Raw genomic sequence first — 19,050 nt, 5'->3', positions numbered from 1 at the left:
GTCCAAAGCACAGTTGACAAACCTAGGACCCAGCCAGGCAAATGTCAATAGCCAAGGAGGTCTGATATGATGCGTGGGGCCCAGTAACTAGACTTCCTAGACTTAAGCAATACTTAGAATGCAAAGAATACCATGTTATGGTTGGAGGTTTAGAGTGGGGTTAAAATGGGATTTCATGCGCCTTTGGGTAAGAAATGAGGACAACAGCTAAGCTAAGTGTCTGGACTAAGGAGGCAGCTGAAAATCTAAAATTATATAAAACTGGTAAACCCAGGAACCAGTTTGGGGAAGAAGATGAGAATAAGGTATTGAATGTGGAGTTAGGCAGAGTTGGCAACTTGACTTGAATGTGGACATCTTGAAGATTATTCTGGGCATAGAGGCTGCTCACTTTTAGCACAGTAAGATTCGTCCTGGCTCAGTGACCTGTCAGCATAGTTTGGACTAAGTAAGAAACTGGGTGAGTCTAACTCTGAAGGTGATATCTTAATAACGAAAGCTGAGTAGGTGTGGGAAGACAGAAACAGAAGTCATATGAAGAAATAGGGCTCAGAGAAGTTACATAATTGGCCCAAGACCACATAGCAAGTTGATGGGAGAGCTAGGACTAGAACACAGATGTCCTACTTTCACGCTTTTATCTCTGTCCTACAGTAAATACAGCATGGTCCAGCTGAAATAACCATGCTGTGGAAAGGCATGCTTGCTTCTTTTAAGGGCTGTGGTTATAATCTGTATGGGTATGTCCACGTAAAATTACATTTATGGAACCCTGGAGAGGTTTGCATATAGAGACGTTTTGCTGGGATAAGTCCTACTTGATTTTGTAATGCAGGGACTCAAGTTTTCCACCCTGGCTGCATATTAAAATTACCTGGATGATGCCAGAGGATCCCCTGCCATCAAGAAACTCAGATTTAATTGACCTGGGGTGAGCGCCAAAGAACCACTGACACAGAAAGTACAGTACATGTTTCCAGTTTTTCTGCTATATACAAATAAAAGGGCGCATTCTAGGCAACAGTAACTCTTATTCCTGCCATTGATTAGAGTGTGCCCTCCATAATCTCTTTGCTTCTATTTCCTTATCTATGAAACACATGTCCTTACTTCTTATGGGATTATTGTGAGGATTCAAAGATAATATAATATAAATTAAAGCACTATAAACACTATAAAGGACTCTACAGATGTTCGTGTTCGAAGGTCCCTGGGTCTGATGCCCTGTGGATAGGATCCAACTCTAGTGGGGATGTGTTCTGTGTAAAAGAAAAATCTAAAGATGAAAATTTTAGCTAGTTTCTCCAAAACCCGTAATAATGAAAATAATCGCAGAATCAGAATCAGGTGGTTTTCTTTTTTAAATATACTCTGGGAAGCCATACATTCACCAATAACAATGTAGGAAAGCTGGCTGAATAGAAAATGCTACTTCTGGGTTTTGTCTGTTTGTTTGCTTTTAAGACAGGATCTCACTCTGTTGCCCAGTCTGGAGAGCAGTGGTGTGATCATAGCTCACTGCAGCCTTGAACTGCTAGGCTCAAGGAATCCTCCCACCTCATCCTCTCAAATAGCTGGGACTAGAGGCACACACCACCACACTTGGCTAATTTTTAAACATTTTTTTAGGCTGGGTGCGATGGCTCACACCTGTAATCCCAGCACTTTGGGAGGCTGAAGCGGGTGGATCCTGAGGTCAGGAGTTTGAGACCAGCCTGGTCAACATGGCAAAACCCTGTCTCTACTAAAAATACAAAAATTAGCTGGGCATGGTGGCATGTGCCTGTAGTCCCAGATACTCGGTAGGCTGAGGTGGGAGAATGTTTGAACTGGGAGGCGGAGGTTGCAGTGAGCTGAGATCACGCCACTGCACTCTAGCCTGGGCGACAGAGCGAGACTCTGTCCCAAATAAAATAAAATAAAATAAATTATTTTTTAGAGACGGCCTCACTGTGTTGCCAGGTGGATCTCCAACTCCTGGGCTCAAGTGATCCTCCTACCTTGGCCTCACAAAATGCTAGAATTATAGGCAAGAGGCACTGCACCTGACCAGAATGCTACTTCTGAGTATGAGTACCTAGGAAAAGCCACCCTTTTCTTAGTTTTTCATTTCCTTTATGAACAAAAACATATAAAGTCAAAGCTAAAGCCTAAGGTAACTACATTTTATTTTGAATTATTTTCAATTGGCCAGTGCAGTGGCTCACGCCTGTAATCCCAGCACTTTGGGAGGCCAAGGTAGGCAGATCACTTGAGGTCGGGAGTTTGAGATCAGCCTGGCCAACATGGTGAAACCTCATCTCTACTAAAAATACAAAAATTAGCCAGGTGTGGTGGTGCACTCCTGTAATCCCAGCTACTTGGGAGGCTGAGGTGGGAGAATCAGCTTGAACCCAGGAGGCGGAGGTTGCAGTGAGCCGAGATTGTGCCATTGCACTCCAGCCTGGTTGACAGAGTGAGACTCCATTTCAAAAAATAAGTAAATAGATGAATTATTTTAAATAAAAATTTCACATAAGGAATGCTCAGCCCTTCGGCTTGAGTGATGTGGAAATCGAAGCACTCCATCTCAGCAGGGCTGGACCTGGGCTAGTTCTGTAGATGATCCGTGTGAATGGACCTTAAATCTGGTGCTGCCTCAGAGTGAGCGAGTCAGCTACAGTTTTGTTTTTGTTTTTGTTTTTGTTTTTTTTGAGCCAGAGTCTCGCTCTGTCGCCCAGGCTGGAGTGCAGTGGCGCGATCTCCACTCACCGCAACCTCCACCTCCTGAGTTCAAGCAATTCTCCTGTCTCAGCCTCCCAAGTTGCTGGGATTATAGGCGCACACCAGCAGACTAATTTTTGTATTTTTAGCAGAGACGGGGTTTCTCTATGTTGGCCAGGCTGATCTCTAACTCCTGACCTCAAGTGATCCACCTGCCTCGGCCTCCTCCCAAAGTGCTGGGATTACAGGTGTGAGTCACCGCGCCTGGCCTGTTTTTTTTTTTTTTTTAACAGCCTTGGGGACCCTAGCCCAGATTTATGGAATCGGAATATGCTTGTGAACAGGTTGGACACCTATGGTTTTAACAATTTTCCCTCCAGATTCTCAAGCTGTCAACCCTCACTGCCCAGAGGTGGGGTGTGCGTGGGAACCACAGCTATGACTCAGGGCATCTCACACTTCAAAGTGCATATGATCACTCGGAGATCTTATTAAAATGCAAGTTCCAATTCAGTAGGCTGTAGTGGGGTCTGAGATTTTACCTTTTTATCAAATTTCCAGGTGAGGCCAATGCTGCTGGTGCTTGGACCACCCTTTGAGTCGCAAGCATCTTGGTGACATAAAATGAAGGCATGAACAAAAACCTCTCTTGATGAACAGTTTGTGAGGATTTTATTGAGGAATAAACTAGAAATTTTCGTATATTGGAAGGAAGAATCTCAAAGTTCCTCTGTTCTATTCCTATTTAACGAGAGCTTGGTTAAAGGTCATGAATTCCTGGTGCCCAGTGACCCTGGAGTTGGCAGAAAGCAAAGTGGACATTCTGGACCTCAATAATTTCTGTGTCTAATAGGAAGGAGCACCAAGGATAGCCAGAGTCCATCAAAGTGATTTCTATTTTTTGGTGTTTTCTTATATTTAATGGTAAAAATCTATGCAAAACCATCACATCTGAATTCATACATATAAACCAAGAGATGACAAAGAGGCCACACATAGTGATTGGTAGAGTGCTGGAAATACCTGCTGACTGAAATGCTTTTCAAAACAGATTAATTGCTGCTCATTTCTCTGCTACCCTAAGAAGGTCTGACACCGCACAGCTTTCGAAATAGGACATGCAGCATCCCTTACAATGGATTTCATGCCATTACTCAGTACCCCACTGATATAATAAAAGGCTGACTCATTTCCCTTCCTCTGCATGATCTGTTACAATGGAAACCAGGAGACCATATGCTGGGTCTAAAATGCTCAGTATGTCCAGCAGCTCACAGTGATTCTTCTCGCTTTAGGGTGACACACAGCCCGGAAAAACAGTGAGAGAATCACTGCCGTTCAGTTGCATTGGAGGCTTTTGAGAAATTGGAAGGATTTCATCAGATAATCATTGTTTCCCTTGTCCAAAACTGATGGATGTCTGAGATGCTCTTTTATAACCTTGAATATCTTCTTTGTTCTTTTCTCAAAAATTTCTTAGCCGTGCCTGCTTTGCCCACAGCGTTAATGTGCACGCCATTTCTAATAGAGCTTATAATAAGAATATTTATTTCCTTGTCTTTCACCATCAAGATTGTCAGGAATGTCAGCACAGCTCAAGGAACTGGATTTCAGAGCTGCTGACTGCTGCCAGCAGAGACAACTGCATTTCAGTAGATGTCTATGGAAATTTTTAATCTATTTCTCTGTGGGAAAGGGAAAGTAGTCAGGTACTTCATTGCGTAGCAGCACAGCATCACTCCATGTGTTTTGCCTTTCCTAAAGAGATCATTATATCGGACAGTGGTGGTGTTTTTCTTAATATACCTACAAGATTAATTTTTAGGGTTGCTGCCATGTGATGAAAACTTAATGCAATGAAGGTAGCCTGCAGAAGAAATTAGTAAAATCTTCCATTTTTATTTTGATCAGATTCCATATTAAAAAGAGAAGTGTTAGTCTAAGTGAACTTCACCTGAATCTAAATATATGTCCACAGTGAAGTGGTTTTCTCATATAAAGGACAGGCCTTCAATAATGCAAACACACTTGATAAACAAGATGTTTAGCCCTTATCGAGTTATAATTATGTGTTGATAGAATCAATAGGGATTTGAGAGACTTCTTTTAATCTCTTCATTTTATAGACAGGCAGAGTGAGGCATAAAGAATTTGAAGATATTTTCCCAGTATCAAATAATGATTTGAAACAGAACAAGGATCAAAACTCATATCCCAGAGTCCAAATTCAGTGCTTCTGATACTAACTTGAAAGGAAAATGAAATCCTGAAGAATAATCCCATTTTCCAAACACAGACCTCTGAAATCAAACCTAGATTTTCTGTCAGTCTTCAAAAACCAGAAATCCTAACAATTCCTTGTCCCTGATCCAGACATAGAGGGGAACCTACCTCTCCCACCTCTCCTTCGTATTCAGGATGCTTGAAGTACATGCCTTTTAGCACCTTTACTAATTGTTATTTTCTGCTGGAAATGTTAGCTCAGAATTAGATGAGAAAGAAAACATTACAACTTTTGAACAGAGGACAAAAATAAAACAGTGTTTTTCAAATTCCAAATCTAAAAGTTTGTTCTTTTAAACATGTGGAAAGTCAAACTGAAAATTAAGGCAATAACAAGAATAGCAGATATTGAACTAAACTTCAGCCTGGATTTCCAAGGGTAGAGTTTATCAATCTTGTCATTACAGACCTTAGTGGAATCCTAATAAATATTACTACTTATTAAACCTCCACACTACTGAATCCCTTATGTGCAGTTATATTTGCCTTTTAGTCATCGTAGTTCCTTTTAGCCGACACTGCAAGTTGCCTACACATCTCTCCATGTTCTCCCTTACTAGTAAAATTATGATATTTTCCAGGGCATAACACATCTGCGTAAAATATTTGATTTTTCAACCTCCTTTGCCACTGAGGTGATCAATGACATGGAGGCAAAGTCCTCAGGCAAAGAAAACTTACGATAATAAAGGTAAATTGAAATGGACAAAAACAAGCAAAAACAAATCATTGCCTTTTGTCTTTGCTTCTTCCCATTTGATCTGGTTTGGAATGCAGACTTCATGCCTCATCCATACCACATGCTAAGCACTTCAGAGAAGAATCAGAGAAGGGCATGAGTCCTGGAAGACATCCTCTAGAAGCTGTGCTAGCTTTAGATTGTATATCTTTGAAAATCTTGCATGCCAGCCAGGTGCAGTGACTCATGCCTGTAATCCCAGCACTTTGGGAGGCCAAGGTGGGTGGATCACTTGAGGTCAGGAGTTTGAGACCAGCCTGGTCAACATGGTGAAATCCTATCTCTACTAAAAATATAAAAATTGGCACGGTGGTGGGTGCCTGTAATCCCAGCTACTCGGAAGGCTGAGGCATGAGAATCGATTGAACCTGGGAGGCAGAGGTTGCAGTGAGCCGAGATTGCACCACCACACTCCAGATTGGGTGACAAAGCGAGACTCTGTCTCAAAAAAAAAAAAAAAAAAGAAAGAGAAAATGTTGCATGTGAGAAAAAGAATATAAAAGAACATTATGAGCTGGGTTTTCAGTTAGTTGCAGTCAAGTGCATTCCTAACTGATCTAGTTGCTATGAGTCTCCACAAAGTGATCGTAGATTCTATGGTCAAGGAACTTTTGTTCTTGGTCTGATCCTGTGATACTGTGATTAATAAGAAATATATATATTTGGTCTGCATCCCAAAACCCTTGTAATTTCCTGAGTGATATTGCTGAGAAGAATGTCTTTTGTTATTCATAAATAGGCCCTTTTCAACCATACTTGAGTTTATGCTAATTAGGTGACTCTTGGTGAGGCCCCTTGATTGGTTGTCAGAGGAACCAACCAAATAATTAAAGGGTTGGAACTTTCAGCCTCCCCATTCCCCACTCTTGGGGATGGGAGAAGGGCTGGAAAATGGCCATCAATTACAATGGCCATAGATTCGATCAATCATGCCTACACAACGGAACCTGCATAAAAACCCTAAATGACAGCGTTTGGAGAGCTTCAGGGTTAATGAATGCATCTACATGTGGGGAGGATCCACAAGTCTAGAAACTCCTGCATTCACAACCCTTCAGACCTCACTCTCTCTATATGTTTATCGGGCTGTTCATACGTATCCTTTATAATATCTTTTATAATAAACTGGTATGTAAGTAAACTGTTTTCCCTGAGTTCTGGGAACCATTCTAGCAAATTATGGAAGCCAAGGAGGGAGTTATGGGAGTCCCACTTTATAGCCAGTTAGTCAGAAGTGTGTGAGGTCAAGGACTTGAAAGTGGCATCTGAAGTGGAGGCAGCCTTGTGGGACTGAGCCTTTATCCTATGAGTTCTGACACTAACCATCCCAGAGTAGTTAATGGGGTAGTTACTGTCAAAATGGAATTGAATCGTTGGACAGCCAGTTGGTGTCCAGAAGATTGGAGACTTGGTTGTTAGTGTGGAAAAAACCCATACATTTGGTGTCAGAAGTATTGCGAGTAGACACAGTTCACAGACAGTTCCCAGACCAACCAGGAGATGAAATGAAGTAGGGCCATCTTTTTTAACCCAATCAAGTTGTAAGAAGTATGAGTCGTTTTAATTACACTGCTTTACCAAGCAACAGCATTATGATTTTGATCGACTCAGGTGTCTTTCTTCTTGTGCCAGGTACACTGCAGTGGGGTGGAAAATTTGCACAATCTGGTATTTTCCTGTCCTAATGATGGGAGGCATTCACCGTGGTTTTTCCTCCACATGGAGGGGCTTTGGGAATCTCTATAAATGACACTGTGCACTCAGCTGGTGTCAGGAGGGAGAACATTGAGGAAGAAAAATAACAGAGAGTGAAGCATGCATATGTCAGTTCATTTATATGTACCTCCAGAATGGGGTGGCGGGCCACACAGTAGCACCATTCCTTGACCTCGACGGACAGACACAGTGCTTCTTGTTCTTGTTTTAAAGTTGTCAAGATCTGTTGGGAGAAATATGGGAAAAAGCATTTAAACTTTAAAGTCCTAAGATATCAAGGGAGAGTACCACTATTTCAAAAGAGAATCATTCTGCTCAAAACTGCGTTGGTAGCACCCATACCGGGGGAATTCAGGAGAGCTTCTTTTCATATGACATTGTCCCATCCTCCTTGATTTTATGGTTATACTGTCCACTAAAATATCTACTTACCACACGTGCCTATTTAGATTTAAAATAATTAAAATTAAATACAATTTATAATTCAGTTCCTCAGACACTAGTCACATTTCAAGTGCTCAGTAGCCACATGCACTTAGTGATTATCACCTTGGCCAGCACAGACACAGAAGACTTCCATCATGCCAGGACATCACATTGGATAGTGCAGGTCTAGGTGAAGAAACTGAGGTTTAAAGATGTTAAGTGACCTGCCCAAGACCTCTCTGTATTTAAATATCATTATCAGAATGCAAACTCTTGTTTTCTGATACAATTCTGTTCACTTCACAAACCATTCTATCATATATAATTATACTTGTCTCTCCATATATACCCAGAGTGTGACTGTCTCTCTTTATATACAAACACAACTCTATATAAAATGTATAAATAGACATATATACAGACACACAATTGTTTTAAAGTTCTTGTGGTGTAGTTTGAAATATTTAGAAGGTACTGTTCATGGTTCTTTTTAGAAGAATGTTTTATTACCTCAAAAAGGTCAAGTCTGGTTAGAGAGATAAGACATTTATAAACCCAAAGATCACAGTATAAGTAAATAGGCAGTTACAAATACAAATGAGTTAATATAAGAAATATGTCTAATAAAGTGAGACATATTATTGTTCAAGAAACGTTTTTTTCTTCCACCCTCCCAGATGTAAATCCTCTCAATAAGGAGTGTGTTAAGTGCCATTTCGTTTTTTGTTGTCTATTACATTTGATTTAATAACATTTTATTGGATTCGGGGACTTCCAATTCAAGTATGTTGTGCAGGGTTGCAAACCATCTGGCTGTGCACACTAGAGCAGAGTAACATTTGTGGATGATTTCCTCCATGCTGGCCATTTTGGTAAGTATTTTATGATGATTATCTCATGTACTCCTAACAACAATTGGGAAGGCTGCAGTTACAAATTGGAATGTTTCTACACTCAGGCTTAGTTTCAAGGAGTGCTAAGGATATTTAAAAAGTTACATATAGACATGTCTTAATTACCAGATTCTTCTGGAATTAGGGACATTTTAAGTTTGTACATTATTGTCTTCATCACTTATATATTCATAAAAACTCCATTAAGTACCATCTGATTTTGCCAACTCAGAAGGCAAGCATTGTGAGAACACAGCTTCCGTCCTGTTGGGGCTCAAGCAGGCAGGTCTGACACATAACACCTAATCAGAGCAAACCAAAGACTGCCAGGTTTGGGCTGTGAAAAGTGAACATGAAGGACACACACATACTCTGCACAAAACAAATCAGTGCTATGATTTGAATTACATTTCTGATGTAATAAACTTCTTTTTATTCAATGGACACCAGGTGAGGGTAGAACATGGTATTTTTCTTGTCTTTATGGAAATGGTCTGAGATTCCTTCAAAAGGAATTAAACCAGGATTTTAAAAACTGTGTTATGGAGTTAATATTTTAAACCATTATCCCTAAAAATAACACTGAATCAGTCTGAATTGTCACTTCTGCATATAGGTTCTTAGAGTAAGTCATCTACATTTGTGCACAGATATCCCATTCAATTTCCAGAGTTGCATGAAAAATTAAGAGCTGATAGGTAGTAGAGATCACGTATCATCTAGGTAAAACCAATCATGGTTTCTGATTAGAGAAATAGTATTAAGAAATGAGAAAGAAAATGAGAAATATGGGCAATGATTTTTAACTATCCTTCCTGAGCTTTAAAAAACTGTATTCATGTTTTTTCCTTCTTAGTTTATGAATTCATTCACTTCTACAAGTTTTAGGCATTTGAAGTGTATCTCATTAATCTGGTATTTGAGAAAATAATCAGAAACGTTTATTAGTCATTAATTGAAATAGATTCCAGATGATAAACCCTACCTATACAGCAAATGGAAAGACTGTATTTGGGTAGATCTGAGTTTGAAAACCATCTCTGCCACTTATTAGCTGTGTTGACCATGGGCAGGTCTACATACCATGGGCAGGTCTTAATTTTCTCATAAATGTAACGAGAATGAATGTTCTTTGTTTCAAGTATGTAGTCATTATGTTTCTTCTGTCCATTGCGAATGCTGTGATTTAGTGCCAAAGCATATCCCAAACATTGCAACTAAGGAAAGGTTTCTAATAGCAAACGCACACTAGAGCAAGCTGTAGATGTGAATCAAAGGACATGATACTTATGCACATGTTTAGGGAAAGATTACATGCCTCAAATTGTTCTTTTCAGGTATGAATATCTATCCAGATCCTAACAGTTAACAACATGATACTTTTCTAAGTCAAGAGCTATGTGTGTAAATGGGTATTATGTCAAAGTTTGTACACTCATGATTAAGCCTTTACCAGCAATGTTTCCACATATATTTTTATTTATTTATTAAATTTTTTTCCTTCAGTTATTGGGATACAGGTGGTATTTGGTTACATGGGTAAGTTCTTTTTTTTTTTTTTTTTTTTTTGGAGACAGAGTCTCACTCTGTTGCCAGACTGGAGTGCAGTGGTGTGATCACGGCTCACTGCAAGCTCCACCTCCCAGGTTCAAGTGATTCTCCTGCCTCAGCCTCCTGAGTAGCTGGGACTACAGGCATGCACCACCACGCCCAGCTAATTTTTGTATTTTTAGTAGAGACGGGGTTTCACCATGTTGGCCAGGATAGTCTCGATCTCTTGACTTCATGATCCACCCGCCTCAGCCTCCAAAAGTGCTGGAATTACAGGCATGAGTCACCGTGTCCAGCCATGAGTAAGTTCTTTAGTGGTCATTTGTGAGATTTTGGTGCACCCATCACCCAAGCAGTATACACTGCACTATATTTGTAGTCTTTTATCCCTTGCCCCACTTCCCACTCTTCCCCCTAAGTCCCCAAAGTCCATCGTATCATTCTTTTTTTATTTATTTTATTTATTTATTTTTTTTATTTTTTTTGAGATGGAGTCTCGCTCTGTCGCCCAGGCTGGAGTGCAGTGCCACGATCTCGGCTCATTGCAAGCTCTGCCTCCTGGGTTCACGCCATTCTCCTGCCTCAGCCTCCCGAGTAGCTGGGACTACAGGCGCCCGCCACCACGCCCGGCTAATTTTTTGTATTTTTAGTAGAGACGGGGTTTCACCGTGTTAGCCAGGATGGTCTCGATCTCCTGACCTCATGATCTGCCTGCCTTGGCCTCCCAAAGTGCCGGGATTACAGGTGTGAGCCACTGTATCCGGCCTCATTGTATCATTTTTATGCCTTTGCGTCCTCATAGCTTAGCTCCCACATATCAGTGAGAACATACGATATTTGGTTTTCCATTCCTGAGTTACTTCACTTAGAATAATAGTCTCCAATCTCATCCACGTCACTGCAAATGCTGTTTATTCATCCTTTTTATGGCTACATAGTATTCCATCATATATATATATATATATGCCATAGTTTCTTTAGCCACTTATTGATTGATGGGCACTTGTGTTGGTTCCACGATTTTGCTATTGTGAATTGTGCCACTATAAACATGCATGTGCAAGTATCTTTTTTAAACAATGACTTCTTTTCCTCTGGGTAGATACTCAGTAGTGAGATTGCTGGATCAAATGGTAGTTCTACTTTTAGTTCTTTAAGGAATATCCACACTGTTTTCCATAGTGGCTGTACTAGTTTGCATTCCCACCAGTGGTGTAGAAGTGTTCCCTGTTTACTGCATCTACACCAACATCTACTGTTTTTTGATTATGGCCATTCTTGCAGGTGTAAGGCGGTATCACATTGTGGTTTTGATATGCATTTCCCTGATCATTAGTGATGTTGAGCATTTTTCCTATGTTTTTTGGCTATTTGCATATCCTCTTTTGAGAACTGTCTATTCATGTCCTTAGTCCACTTTTTTGATGGGACTGTTTGATTTTTTTCTTATTGATTTGTTTGAGTTCGTTGTAGAGTCTGGATATTAGTCCTTTGTCAGATGTATAGATGACGAAGAGTTTCTTCCACTCTGTGGGTTGTCCGTTCACTCTGCTGACTGTTCCTTTTGCCATGCAAAAGCTCTTTAGTTTAATTAGGTCCCAGCTATTTATCTTTGCTTTTATTGCATTTGCTTTTGGGTTCTCTTGGTCATGAAATCCTTGCCTAAGCCAATGTCCAGAAGGGTTTTCCAATGTCATCTACTAGAATGTTTATAGTTTCAGGTCTTAGGTTTAAGTCCTTAATCCATTTTCAGTTGCTTTTTGTATAAGGTGAGAGATGAGGATCCAGAGTCATTTTATCTCCAAAGCCTTGGTACTTGGGTAATGATCAGTAGCAGCAGGCATTATGAGACGGAATATACATTATGGATAATGCTCTGTCACTGTGGCCATCACACTAATAGCAACAATAGAATTGACTTGCAGACTATATTGCAGTCATACCATGTGGCCAAGTACTTTTCTTATTTGATCTCATTGAATTCCATTACACTTTAAACTCCCAATTTATAGGTGACACAGCTGAAGCTCACGGAGGTGCAGCACCTTCTTCACGTGCCTAGGAAGTGGCCAGAAGATACAAACTCATGTTTTGTCTCTCTCCAAAGTTACTGCTCTGAAGCACCATAATCTGTGGCATCTTCACTGATTTCGTAAAGTCAGTGAAAAAGAGCTTTCAAATCAGTTACTTGCCATGCCAGGACACAAAAACGTTCATTTAAATAACATTTACACTCAGTGAATATGGAAAGAAATCCACATTTCAACACATAGTGTGATGGGTTGGTATAAGTACTTTGGTTTCAAATCTTCTATTCCTCTGCTTTTCTTTGTGGTTGGGCACTCAACATGGAGATTGTAAATGTTAGGTGCAAAGTGTGAAGTTGAACAAGGAGAAAATAAACAGAAACAACTCTATTAAGAAGCAGGATTGCTGCCTTGTTAGGAAGGTAGCTAAACAATTACACTTGGCTTGTATTCCGTTTAGCAATTGGTCACCAAAGATAGTATTGAATAAATAATGTGTATGTAAAACAAGGAATTAACATCCGTGCACCATTGTTTCTCAAAATAGCCTGTCTTTCAAGCTTTATATGTGGTTCATTGACATGTGATGTGTAGATTTTTAAAAAATAAATACCTCTACTTTTTGGTGTTGATTTCATTTGTCAGCATTTTACATAACTTTTTCCAACAGCCATGTGCTAAGGATTGTACAATTGTGTGGCAGATGTGTTTTCATATCATATTTGTGAAAACAGCTGTCCTTTATTCTCCTATGGAATGTAATACCTGAATTTCATTTTAAAATGAGATTAGAAAACATGCTATAGTATTTGGAATGTGTTACCTCATTGAGACCAGAGAGGAAGTGATTTAGCAGTTACATTCCTGGAGGAGTGGACGTGTACAAAAGCCTTAAAGCTGCAATATGCTATCAATAATAAAAAGTCTTAATATAGGAAAACATTTGGAATTCAGGCCATGGAGTAAATTAGAGAGCAAGGGGAAAATGTCCACGTATTTTTTGTCTGGGAAATTTTTAAATATTTAGAGCTGGGGAAGAAGTATCTTACCATAAATACCTGATTATAGTCTAGAGGATATAAAATCAAGAGGGTCCAAGATCTCTTTTGAGAAGTAATAACAGTAAATAAGAAAGAGTAATTTATTTAGGTCATAATTAATGGACTAGCCATTACACATATGGACAGGAAGAGCTGAAGCTATTCACAGGGTGGGATGACTCAGAGGAAGGTATAAAAAGTTTAGTTTTAAAATGGCCAGGAAAGGTTAATGAGATAATATCACACATCATAGTTTGTTAAGAATCCACAGAGAGAAGGGAGAAAAGAAAAAAAGGAAAAATGATACAGTAACCATGCATGTAATACATGTATTATTTAATGCAAGTAAAAAAATACCAATTCACTTTTTTCCTGACTTGGGTAGACCTGGATTCTATTAATTCTCCCAGGTTGGCCTTAGAACAAGAAATTGTCAGCACCAGTTCCCTTTGTTATTGCTTCCTTTTAAAAGACGCAATCAGTAAGGAGATGAACATCAACTTGGAAAAATGGTCAAGTGATACATTTGTTATGAATATGATCTCCATAATGATGACTGCACCATTTATAAAAAGAAGTATTTTTGGAGAGTAACTTTAAAAACTCACTATCATGCAGCAAATTTAAAGTTATGTCTTGACTCTCTGCCATTTGCTCCCTGTGTGTGTGTGTGGATGCACACTTTATGGTTTCCTGGATTGAAGAGACTTGTAGTGAAAATAAATCGAAATTTACAAAACCTGAGTTTCAAAGTCGTATTTTTGACATTCTTTCCATTTAGGAAGAAGGAAGACTGGACTTCCCTGTAAGAGAGTATATAGCAAGAGGAAGAACTGCCTGATGGTTTAACACCCTGGTTTTGGAGTCAGAAGGACCTGAGTACAAACTTAGCACTCTTACTTTCTACCTGTATGATGTAGGTGAGTTAGTTAATCTCCTTGAACTTCAATTCTCACTTCTAATGTCAGGACAATAATTCCTGTCTCATAGGACTTTCTGAAGATTAAGATCATGCATGTAAAGCACTTAAGATGCTGCCTGGTCCAAAGTCAGTAGTCTATAAATGTTAGCACTATCAGTATGACTTTTGAGCATCCAAAGGAAAGTTTACAGAAAGTGACTCACTGGGAGAACTTCCACCGGATAAAGTAACATTAGAGTGGCCAAGTCAACACTACTGTGGCAAAAAAACAAAAAAACAAAACAAAACAAAAAAAACAAACCTGATAAGACTTAAAATATATCCTCTTCTGCTAGTCCTAATTATGCTTTCAAGTCAAGATTGATGCTGAAGTGAATCAGATATCTTATCCTTTATATTGCATGAACTGTATTCTTTATAACACTTATATTTAAGATATACGCACTATACCCTGGATTCAGATAATTCTTCATGAGAAATTCTTCCTATAATCTTCTGGTCTGAGAATGCTTGTGTTACTTAAAAATATTGTTTCTATACAACAGTAAAATTGATATTTGTCTACCTTTTTAAAACTTTTAAGTTTAGGGGTACATGTGCAGGTTTGTTACAGGTAAACTTGTGTCATGGGGGTTTGTTGTACAGATTATTTCATCACCCAGGTATTAAGCCTAGTACCCATTAGCTATTTTTCCTGATCCTCTCCCTCCTCCCGCCCTCCACTCTCTAACAGGCCCCAGTGTGTGGTGTTCCCCTTTATGTGTCCACGTGTTCTCATCTTAGCTCCGACTTGTAAGTGAGGACATGTGGTATTTCGTTTTCTGTCAATTTGCTGAGGATAACGGCCTTACCTTTTTTAAAGGATGTAAATATATGTGATTTTTGGCTGGGCACAGTGGCTCATGCCTGTAATCGCCGCACTTTGGGAGGCCAAGGCAGGCAGATTGCTTGAGGTCAGGAGTTCGAGACCAGCCTGGCCAACACGGGGAAACCCTGTCTCTACTAAAAATACAAAAATTAGCTGGGTATGGTGACATGTGCTGTAGTCCCAGCTGCTCTGGAGGCTGAGAGGCAGGAGAATTGCTTGAACCTGGGAGGCGGAGGTTGCAGTGAGCCGAGATCGCGCCACTGCACTACAGCCTGGGTGACAGAGCAAGACTCCGTCTAAAAACAAAAACAAAAACCTGACATTAATTACCCCAGTTTGTTGGCAGTCGAAAGTAAGGGACTAGGAGGTCGGGCACATATGTAGTCCCAGCTACTCGGGACGCTGAGGCAGGAGAATGGCGTGAACCCAGGAGGTGGAGCTTGCAGTGAGCTGAGATCAGGCCACTGCACTCTAGCCTGGGCGACAGAGCGAGACTCTGCCTCAAATAAATAAATAAATAAATAAATAATAAAATAAAAATAAAGTAAAGGACCAAAACTTTTTTTTTTTTTTTGACACTGAGTCTTGCTCTATCGCCCAGGCTGGAGTGCAGTGGTGTGATCTCAGCTCACTGCAACCTCTGCCTCTTGGGTTTAAGTGATTCTCCTGCCTCAGCCTCCAGAGTAGCTGAGATTACAGGCACCTGCCACCATGCCCAGCTAATTTTTGTATTTTTAGTAGAGACAGGTTTCCCACATTGGCCAGGCTGGTCTCGAACTCCTGACTTCAAGTGATACGCCTGCCTCGGCCTCCCAAAGTGCTGGGATTACAGGTGTGAGCCACCGCACCTGGCCGGGACCAAAATCTTATGCTAGGTCTAATATTCCTAAGTCAATGTACCCTTGAGATACAAATGACTCATTCACAGAAATGACTTCTGATCTTTTTTTTTTTCTTTTTTTTTTCAGAGCCTCTAATTCTGCAGCCATGAACATCACTATGGAAATCCTTAATACACTTATTTCAGAGTAAAAGGGAAAGCTTATTCAGAGCTGTCCCAGGTGCTGATTCCAGCCCTCACAGTGTTCTCTCTCCAACTGCCTGAGTTTTTTGTCACCCTCTTCGGTCATACCAAATAAAACCTTACAATTTAGATATTACTTTGGAATTACAAAAATATCATTTTAAACCATAAATACCTTCTTCAAAAGTATGACCTTGCTATTAATCACTTTCAGTGAAGAGTGAATTAATTCAATCAGGTTGCTTTCACTTAACAAGTAAGTAAGAGCAGTATGGAGTCTTCAAATGTGAGTTTTGAATAACCAAAGAAGAATCAAAGGAAAATTTAATCTATGAAATAGTGGAGAAGGCAAAATAGCGCTGAGAAAGTTCAAGAAGGATAATGACTTAAAAAACTGGATGAGGAAAGTGGTGTGTGGAGACTGCCAAAGACAAATTTGCCTAGGGTCAGCAATCCTCTATTTAGCAAAATTGGAGGTTATTCTCCTCTTTCTCTTCTTGCACCACATTACTAGATCACATATCACTCTTTGTTTCCAGGAACAAAACCTAGGCAAGAATTAAAAATAGCATAATCAATATTACATGTTAAGAAGGCTTCTTAACTTTGGCAATTTAACCACTTTATAAATATTATCTATTTGGAAGAATGCTAAGGCCAGTTCCATCCAGCTTAGCTAAATGACACAATTTCTCAATTTCTATGTATTTATTCATTCGGTCTTCACCACGACTCTTTGAGGTGGGTTCTATTACTATTCTCATTTAATAGAAAGAAAAATAAACATCCAAGAGCTTAGATTAGAATCCGGATTTTCCCGACCCAGAAGTCCCTATATATAACTTCTATTCTATATCAAATTAAATAACAGGGATGAAACCATACTTTTTGATGGTCTGTTTGACTGTCTGAGACTCTCACAGTTTTTCACCCCTCAACTATTATTTTCTTGACTTTACAGAAAATAAACGTTGCTTGGCTGCCCTTTTCTCTGGGAGCTTACAGCGTTCCTGATGGCTATTTTTATTTCTCATTTTAGTTCTTTCCTTTTCCTCATTTCTTTGACATACTCTATTTTATCTAGACCTTTGTGCTATTTAAGAGGCCAAAGAACAACTTAATTTAAAATGTCTGAGTTTCCCTGTGTGTTCCACAAAAAAGTACACCTATCTAACTCATGAGGTTACTACAATTAGTGAGATATGGCACCGTTAATAATGTTGTTCTCCTTCGGAGACGGGTGCCCTAACATGCAAGCTATTATTACCAGCATTTTTCTCTACGGGAGCTCATCTCTTTTCTCATATCATCCTGACTCAGGAGTGTTAATGGTTAGGCAGCTGCATTCTTTATCTTTGGTTTCATACTTACACAACACAAAGAGAAACAAAGGTTTCAGAAGGCATTTGGCCTGGTCAATTTCAGAATAAAATATGGACCCTTCACTGTGCTCTGCAAAGGCCCTTCAGGATCCAGCCCCTGCCTACGTCCCCAGCTTTGCTCCCTGCCACTTCCCTCCTTACTTAGTTATACCGTAATGGCCACATTTTGCTTTCTGTTCTTCAAACACCTTGCAGCTAACCCAGTCTCAGGACCCATGTCCTTGCTGTTCCCCTTGTTTGGAGTGCTCTTTCCCCATTCTTTGGCTTATCATGTTTAGCCTTTAGGAACCAACTCAAATGACCCTTCTTCAGAGCAGCATTACCTGAGGGCTTAAGTAAAGTCAACCGTGACCTGACTCCAGTTACTCTCTGTCACATCCCCTCTTTACTACATCCTTCCCAGAAATCACCACCGCCGCCATCTGCAACTACGGTTCTCATTTGTGTACTTTCTTTTTTACTGTCTCCATTGCCTCCCCAAATAAAAGCTCACTGTGGGGCAGGAATCTTGCCAGTTTTTATGAGGCTATAGCCAATGCCCAAAACAGTGTCTGATACATAGTAGATACTTAATTAGTACTTGTTGAGCACTGCTGTTCTTCCTGTTTCACAGGCTGTGGTGGTTGGTGAGACCTGTTGGACTAGGGTGAACTTTCTTGTATTTGTCCTCATGACACACTGCTTTCCAGCATCTTGGCTACAAAGGACCTTTGTATGCTCAATAGCCAGGGAAGCTTTGGAGAATAACTTCAAGAAAAGGTGTCCAATCAAGGGCATGGAGCCACCTACTTTCCCGCATCCCCATCCTTAAGTGGAAAGCTAAGAGATAAATTAAAATTGGAATGTAATCAACATATGAACTGGAGTTATTGCTTTGCAAAATAAATACTCTCCCACCCACTCGCCCACTCACCCCTGCCCCAGGGAATGCCAGAGATGATGAAAACATGAAACAACTCCTTGCAAATTGCATGGGCCTATTATTTGTGATTAGGGCTGTTATCAGCCAGTCAGTGATATATCATACAATTATCTTTTCTTCATCTAGTGTGATAATTTTATAACTGATAGACTTATGCTCATTATAGCTTTGACAGAAAGAAATATGATTCTTCATTTTGAATTTTACTTTATAGCCTTTTTTTCTCCCCAATGAAAATTAAAATTAGCAGGTTGTAATTCATTGTACCAATCTTCTTAATAAATAGGCACCTTAGAAGGCAAATCAGATACATTCAAGTAACACCAGAATGAATATTCTCTGAAGAAAATGCTGAAAAGTTATGCATCAAGAGGCCATGATAAAGTCAGTAATCTACAGAAAAGCCTTGGAAACATATTACTAAATGGAGACATAAGGACCACAGTTCATGATCAAACCCCAGAGACTACAAATCTACGAGCCATACAATTGGTCATGAAAAACCCTGCTTCAAAGTGAAAGAAATCTCTTCATCTCAAACTTTTTCATTCAAT

At 39.8% G+C, this 19,050-nt stretch overlaps 1 protein-coding gene and 1 long non-coding RNA gene across 38 annotated transcripts in view; one reads left to right on the top strand and one right to left on the bottom strand.

Moving 5' to 3' along the window:
- Window positions 1–14,216, top strand: part of LOC105376926 (uncharacterized) — a 38,900-nt gene extending 24,684 nt beyond the window's left edge. The window contains exon 3 of the long non-coding RNA XR_001740398.2: window positions 14,160–14,216. This is a non-coding gene — a long non-coding RNA (uncharacterized LOC105376926). The remainder of the gene's footprint in view (window positions 1–14,159) is intronic.
- Window positions 1–19,050, bottom strand: part of CNTN4 (contactin 4) — a 959,094-nt gene that overhangs the window by 230,810 nt on the left and 709,234 nt on the right. For all 37 annotated transcript variants that reach the window (XM_017005783.2, NM_001350095.2, XM_047447536.1 and 34 more), the window contains one exon: window positions 7,569–7,664. In XM_017005783.2, coding sequence (XP_016861272.1) covers window positions 7,569–7,664 — 96 coding nt within the window. The remainder of the gene's footprint in view (window positions 1–7,568; window positions 7,665–19,050) is intronic.

Source organism: Homo sapiens, chromosome 3 (genome assembly GCF_000001405.40).
Source record: "Homo sapiens chromosome 3, GRCh38.p14 Primary Assembly".
In the NCBI taxonomy this organism is placed as follows: Eukaryota; Metazoa; Chordata; class Mammalia; order Primates; family Hominidae; genus Homo; species Homo sapiens.
The sequence above is the reverse complement of the archived record's forward strand: the minus strand, read 5'-3'. Positions and strand labels throughout refer to the sequence as shown.